Source organism: Homo sapiens, chromosome 12 (assembly GCF_000001405.40).
Source record: "Homo sapiens chromosome 12, GRCh38.p14 Primary Assembly".
Classification (NCBI taxonomy): Eukaryota; Metazoa; Chordata; class Mammalia; order Primates; family Hominidae; genus Homo; species Homo sapiens.
In genome coordinates this window covers 51220030-51227759 of record NC_000012.12, presented here as the reverse complement: position 1 = coordinate 51227759, position 7730 = coordinate 51220030, and the positions used below count along the sequence as shown (strand labels likewise).

General features: G+C 45.4%; 1 annotated feature.

Moving 5' to 3' along the window:
• Positions 7238–7417: a silencer, noted in NCBI's record as "fragment chr12:51614127-51614306 (GRCh37/hg19 assembly coordinates)". NCBI's record gives its function as "represses an EF-1alpha promoter that drives an FKBP-Casp9 reporter gene in an ReSE screen in K562 erythroleukemia cells {active_cell/tissue: K562}" and the evidence as "EXISTENCE:reporter gene assay evidence [ECO:0000049][PMID:32094911]".

The window sequence follows — 7730 nt, the reverse complement described above, 5'->3', positions numbered from 1 at the left end:
CTTGGGAATGGTGGGTTTTACCATCCAGAGGACTTAGTAAGACAGAATATTAAGAATACAGGATGTGGGCTGGGTACGGTGGCTCACGCCTGTAATTCTAGCACTTTGGGAGGCTGAGGTGGGCAGATCATCCACCTGAGGTCAGGAGTTCGAGACCAGCCTTGGCAACATGGTGAAATCCCGTCTCTACTAAAAATACAAAATTAGCCAAGTGTGGTGGCTCATGCCTGTAATCCCAGCTACTTGGGAGGCTGAGGCAGGAGAATCCCAGCTACTCAAGAGGCTGAAGCAGGAGAATCACTTGAGCCCAGGAGGTGGAAGTTGCAGTGAGCCGAGATTGTACCATTGCATTCCAGCCTGGGTGACGAGCAAAACTCTGTCTCAAAAAAAAAAAAAAAAAAAGAATACGGGATGTGGACCAGGCATGGTGACTCACACCTGTAATCCCAACACTTTGGGAGGCTGAGGCAGGGAGGATTGCTTGAGGCCAGGAGTTTGAGACAAGCCTACATTGTGACCAGACAATATAGCAAGACTCTGTCTCTACGAAAATAAATAAACAAAACATGGGATGTGGAAGGAAGTTTAGGTTCCAGTCCTAGTTCTGTTTCTCATAAGCTTATCGGCATTGGACAAGTCACTTAACTTGTGAGTTTCAGTTTGCTCATCTTTCTCAGTTTTCTGAGGCTGTTTTCTCATCTTCAAAATTATTCCACAGGCGCAGTGGAATCCCAACACTTTGGGAGGCCAAGGCAGGTGGATAGCTTGAGCCCAGGAGTTTGAGACCAGCCTGGGCAACTTAGGGAGACCCTGTCTCTACAAAAAAATTAAAATTAACCAGGTGTGGTGGTGTGTGCCTGAAGTTCCAGCTACTCAGGAGGCTGAGGCAGGGGGAACGCTTGAACTTGGGAGGCAGAGGATGCAGTGAGCCATGATTGTGCCACTGCATTCCAGCCTGGGTGACAGAGTAAGAAGACCCTGTCAAAAAAAAAAAAAGAAAGAAAGAAAAAGGAAAATTATTCCTCACAGACTTGGTGTGAGGGTCAAATAAGAAGATAAGAATAAATACTTCTTAAGCCATAGGATGCAACCTGTATCTTAGTTAATATAAGCAATAACTGGCTGGGTACGGTGGCTCACGCCTATAATCCCAGCACTTGGGGAGGCCAAAGTGGGCGGATCACCTGAGGTCAGCAATTTGAGACCAGCCTGGCCAACATGGCGAAACCCCATCTCAACTAAAAATACAAAAATTAACCGGGCGTGTTGGCAGATGCCTGATGCCTATAATTCCAGCTGTGCCGGAGGCTGAGGCAGGAGAATCACTTAAACCTGGGAGGTGGAGGTTGCAGTGACCTGAGGTTGCGCCACTGCACTCCAGCCTGGATGACAAGAGCGAAACTCTGTCTCAAAAAAAAAAAAAAAAAAAAAAAAAAAAAAATATATATATATATATATATATATATATATATATATATATATATATATATGCAATAACTCTACCAGATTTGCAGAAGCCGATCTTTTATTGCAAGAAAGGGGTCCCCTTGGGCACAGACTCTGTGGAAGCTGGGGTCAGGGGACATTATTTGAATTAAATGAATAGTGGTTGATTCTGCCCATTTATTTCCTACTTCATGCTTGCTTTCCCTCTATCTACATATTCACTTGTCAGGAATAACATTTTTTTCCTGTAATATCATTTTTTGATGGAAACTTCCAGACTTGCTCAGATGAGAGCGGGAAGGGGGGGAGTACAAAAGCCCACATTTCTTCAGCATTTCAATCAACAACCTCATTTTCTTCTAACAGTTGAAGTGAACTTCTTATGAATAATGGATGATAGCCTGATGAATATGCACACGGCCTATTATGCCTGTGAGGTTTAGTAAATAATTTATGAGCTAAAATGTTCCTCATGTTGTTACTGTACAAAAATTATGGAAAAAAAACCCATATTTACCCTTTCAGGTGGTAGGGTGATCTGTCAGAGACAGTGACAGCAGCCCAGCAATACAGTTTTACATCATTGCTAAAATTAAAGTAAGTAGAATAAAATAAACGCATTTCAGGGCAAGAGGTGGAGGTCTATTAAAAATGGAGCATGCACAGGCATACTCCTTGTCACATATAAGTTGTCAAAAACTCTGGCTTCTCACCTTAAGATATCCTTGCATTGTTAACAGCATCAGGGATCTTCTCCTCCGCAGCCCGATCTCTTCACATGCCTTCAATATGACCAGCCGCAACTGACATCTGCTTTGTTGTTTTATGAAAACTCGCCCTTAGAAATGCATTGCTCCCTTTCCTCTCTCACAGCTGAGAGATTCTTTTTCTGCTGACCAACCTGAGTTCCCTGCTGAATGCCCTAGCTTTATTGCCTTAGCAGCAGGAGTGGGTGCCTTTTATCTGTTGGTTAGAGAGAGGGAGGCACAAAATTGACTACAGAAATAAGGAAGGTGTTTGGGACAATATGCATGGATTCTGGTAACACCTGGTTGTCCTATGACAAGTTTCTGAAGACCTGGAACTGGCTTAGTTATCATGCCAGGGAAGAGGGGACCCCAGGGATTATCTGTTAATATTTCAGAACCTTTCTAGGTACAGTGCCCAGGAAGACTCTTACTGTGAACAGAGCATCCCTTATATGCTGGGTGCTTGGAGGAGATCAGGTGAAAGAGAAAATACATGGCCCTGTCATTCGTCCAGTGGGTAAATAATACATATTCTCAAGAAACAGAGTGAGGACTAGGTGTGGTAGCTCACACCTGTAACCCCAGAACTTTGGGAGGCTGAAGCGGGAGGATCACTTGAGTTCTGGCATTCAAGTCCAGCCTGGGCAACATAGGGAGACCCTATCTCTACCAAAAAATTAAAAAATTAACAGGGCATGGTGGCATGTGTCTGTGGTATCACCTACTCGAGGTTGAGGTGGGAGGATCACTTGAGCCCAGGAGGTTGAGGCTGCAGTAAGCCATGATCACACCCCTGCACTCCAGCCTGGGCAACAATGCAAGACCCTGTCTGGAAAAGAAAGAGAGAGAGAGAGAAAGGAAAGAAAGAAAAGGCAAGGGAAAGAACGGGAGGGAGGGAATGGCCTATAAATTACAAAGTGAAGTTATTGGAACAATAATGTAATTTAAAAAGTAATATTGGCTGGGCACAGTGGCTCAAGCCTGTAATCCCAGCACTTTGGGAGGCCAAGGTGGGCTGGTCACTTGAGGTCAGGAGTTCGAGACCAGCCTGGCCAACATGGTGAAACACCATCTCTACTAAAAATACAAAAGTTAGCCAGGTGTGGTGGCACGTGCCTGTAATCGTAGCTATTCGGGAGGCTGAGGCATGAGAATCCCTTCAATCCAGGAGGTGGAGGTTGCAGTGAGCTGAGATCGCACCACTGCACTCCAGCGTGGGTGACAAAGTGAGACTCCATCTCAAAAAAGAAAAAAAAGTAATATTGGCTGGGCACAGTGCCTCAAGCCTGCAATCCCAGCACTTAGGCAGGCTGAGGCTGGCAGATCAGTTGAGCCCAGGAGTTCAAGACCAGCCTGGGCAAAATATAGCAAAACCTCATCTCTACGAAAAATACAAAAATTAGCCAGGCATGGTGGCACATACCTGTAGTCCCAGCTACTTGGGAGGCTGAGGCAGGAGGATCACTTGAGCCCAGAAGGTTGAGGCTGCAGTGAAACAAGATCACACTACTACATCCAGACTGGGTGAAGGAGTGAGACCCTATCTCAAACAAAATAAAATAATAATAATTAGAACAATGTGGTATGTATTATACAGGAAGCCTTCTTGGAGGAGGTAAATCTTGAGTTTGCAAAGCTAGAAGGGTCCCAATTAGAAAGATTAGAGGTATATATGGCCAAGCCTACCTGATTTGGTGTCTGCCTCCCTTTCCAACCTCATTTTGTACAATTCTCCCCCACCTCTTGCGGTGTCCTAGCCTACAAGAGACCAAATGTTTGTGTCCCCCTCAAAATTCATATATTGAAATTCTGGCCCCCAATGTGATGGTATTATGTGGGCCCTTTGGGAGGTGATTAGGTCATGAGGGTAGAGCTTTCATGAATGGGATCAGAGCCCTTATAAAAGGAACCCCAGAGAGCTTCCTAGCCTGCTTCTGCCATGTGAAGATGGCTGTCTATGAACTAGGAAGCAGGCCCTCAGAAGAAATCAAATCAGCCAGCATCTTGATATTGAACTTTCCAGCTTCTAGAACTGTGAGAAATAAATTTATGTTGTTTATAAGCCATCCAGTATATAATTTTTTTTTTTTGAGACGGAGTCTCACTCTGTCACACAGGCTGGAGTGCAATGGCACGGTCTCAGCTCACTGCAACTCCAGGTTCAAGCGATTCTCTTGCCTCAGCCTCCCGAGTAGCTAGGACTACAGGCACATGCCACCACACCAGGCTAATTTTTGTATTTTTAGTAAAGACGGGGCTGGGCGCGGTGGCTCATGCCTGTAATCCCAGCACTTTGGGAGGCCAAGGTGGGAGGATCACGAGGTCAGGAGATCAAGACCATCCTGGCTAACACAGTGAAACCCCATCTCTGCTAAAAAAAAAAAAAAAAAAAAAAAGAAAAATACAAAAAAATTAGCCAGGCGTGGTGGTGGGCACCTGTAGTCCCAGCTGCCCGGGAGGCTGAGGCAGGAGAATGGCATGAATCTGGAAGGCAGAGCTTGCAGTGAGCCGAGATCACGCCACTGCACTCCAGCCTGGGTGACAGAGCGAGACTCCGTCTCAACAAACAAACAAAAAAGTAAAGACGGGGTTTCACTATGTTGGCCGTGCTGGTCTCAAACTCCTGACCTCGGGATCCACCTGACTCGGCCTCCCAAAGTGCTGGGATTACACCCGTGAGCCACCGTGTCCGGCCAAATAAAACTCTTCAACAGGATTCTCAGCCCAGCACGTTTTCGTTTTCTCCTTCACTCACATTTCCCCAACTTTCCGAGCCTTCATTTATTCAATAAGTAATTATTATCTACTGTGTGCCAGATAACTGGGCTTGGTGCCAAATGTCCAGTCAAAAACAAAATGGACTGTTGCCTTGGAATTTACTGCCTACTCGGTAAACATATTAAATAGAAAATAAACATACAAATACATCAGCACACATGGTGATTAAGAAAACGGGAAGGTGATACGAGACAAAATAACACTGAAGTGCAGGGAAAATGTCTCTGAGGAAGGAAGCCATATATAAGGCAAGGCCTGAAAGATGGGCTAAGGAGGAGGCAGAAGAAACAGCATAGGCAGACACAATGAAGGCAGGAAAGAGCTCGAAGTTTAAGAACCTGAAAGTGGATCAGTATCGATGGGTCTTAGTCCGTTTGGGCTGTTATAACAAAATACTATAGGTCGGGTGCAGTGGCTCACGCCTGTAATCCCAGCACTTTGGGAGGCCGAAGCAGGTGGATCACCTGAGGTCAGGAGTTCAAAACCAGCCTGGCCAACATGGTGAAGACTCATCTCTACTAAAAATACAAAAATTAGCCGGGCATCGTGGTGCATGCCCGTAATCCTAGCTACTCGAGAGGCTGAGACAGGAGAATAGCTTGAACCCGGGAAGTGGAGGTTGCAGTGAGCCAAGGTCTCATCACTGCACTCCAGCCTGGGTGACAGAGCAAGACTCTGTCTCAAAAAAAAGTAAAATTTTAAAATAAAAATAATAAAATATTAGGCCAGGCGTGGCGGCTCACACCTGTAATCCTAGCAATTTGGGAGGTGGAGGCAGGCGGATCACCTGATGTCAGAAGTTTGACATCAGCCTGGCCAACATGGTGAAACCCTGTCTCTACTAAAAATACAAAAATTAGCTGGGCACGGTGGCACATGCCTGCAATCCCAGCTACTTGGGAGGCTGAGGCAGGAGAATCGCTTGAACCCAGGAGGCAGAGGTTGCAGTGAGTGGAGATCGTGCCACTGCACTCCATCCTGGGCTAAAGAGTGAGACTCTGTCTCAACAACAACAACAACAAAAGCCAGGTGCGGTCTTTGGCATGCCCAGGCAAAAAAAGAAAAAAAAATTTTTTAAGTAATATACTTTGTTTTTTGTTTTTGAGACGGAGTCTCACTCTGTCACTGAGGCTGGAGTGCAGTGGCACCGTGTCGGCTCACTGTAACCTCCGTCTCCTGGGTTCAAGCAATTCTCCTGCCTCAGCCTCCCGAGTAGCTGGGATTACAGGAGCCCACCACCACGCCCGGCTAGTTTTTATATTTTTAGTAGAGACGGGGTTTCACCATGTTGGCCAGGCTGCTCTCGAACTCCTGACCTCAGGCGATCCACCCGCCTCAGCCTCCCAAAGTGCTGGGATTATAGGCATGAGCCACAGCGCCCAGCCAAAAAGTAATAAACTTTCATTGCAAGAAGACTACCAATACCACATACTGGTGAGGATGTAAAACAATTAGAACTCTCTCATGCATTGCTGATAAAGATATAAATTGGTTCAAACACTATAGAAAACTATTTAGCAGTATGGACAAAAGCTAAATAAAATAGAATAGCTATTCTACTCCTCAGTATTTACCTGGAAGAAATAAGTGCATATGTTCACCAAAATACTTGTACAAGAATGCTCATAGCAGTTTTATTCCTAAGAGGCCCAAACAACAAGCAAATGCCCATCAATAATGGAATGGATAAATTGTAGTATAATTATGCAATGGAATACTACACAGCAATAAAAAATACTTCTACATTCAACAACATGGATGAATCTCAAAAACATATATTGAGGCCGGGTGTGGTGGCCGACACCTGTAATCCCAGCACTTTGGGAGGCCGAGGAGGGCGGATGACTTGAGGTCAGGAGTTCGAGACCAGCCTGGCCAACATGGTGAAACCCTGTGTCTACCAAAAGTATAAAAAATTAGCTGGGAGCGTGGTGGCTCATGCCTGTAATCCCAGCACTTTAGGAGGCTGAGGTGGGCGGATCATGAGGTCAGGAGTTCAAGACCAGCCTGACCAACATGGTGAAACCCCATCTCTACTAAAAATACAAAAATTAGCCGGGCATGGTGGCGTGTGCTTGTAATCCCAGCTACTCAGGAGGCTGAGGCAGGAGAATCACTCGAACCTAGGAGGTGGAGGTTGCAGTGAGCTGAGATCACACCATTGCACTCCAGCCTGGGCGACAGAGCGAGACTCCATCTCGAAAAAAAAAAGAAAAAAAAAATTAGCTGGGCGTGATGGCACGCACCTGCAGTCCCAGCTACTTGGGAGGCTGAGGCAGGAGAACCACTTGAACCCGAGAGGCGGAGGTTGCAGTGAGCCGAGATCACACCACTGCACTCCAGCCTGGGCGACAGAGCAAGACTCCGTCTCAAAAAAAAAAATTTTGTTGAGTGACAGAAGCCAAACACAAAAGATTGCATATTGTCTGATTCCATTTATGAGAAGTTCAAGAATCAGCTCAAGTAATCAATCTATGGTGACAGAAATCAGAATAATGGTTACTTTGGGAATTTATGGCCGGTGAAGGTACATAAGGGAATCCTCAGGTCTTGGAAAGGCTCTATATCTTGTTTTGGGTGGGGATTACATGGATATATATATGTGTGTGAGTATATACATGTATATATAGACATGTATATATGTATACACGTATCTATACACGTGTATATATGTATACACACACACGTACATATGTATACACACACATACACGTACATATGTACACACACATATACACGTACATATGTATACACACA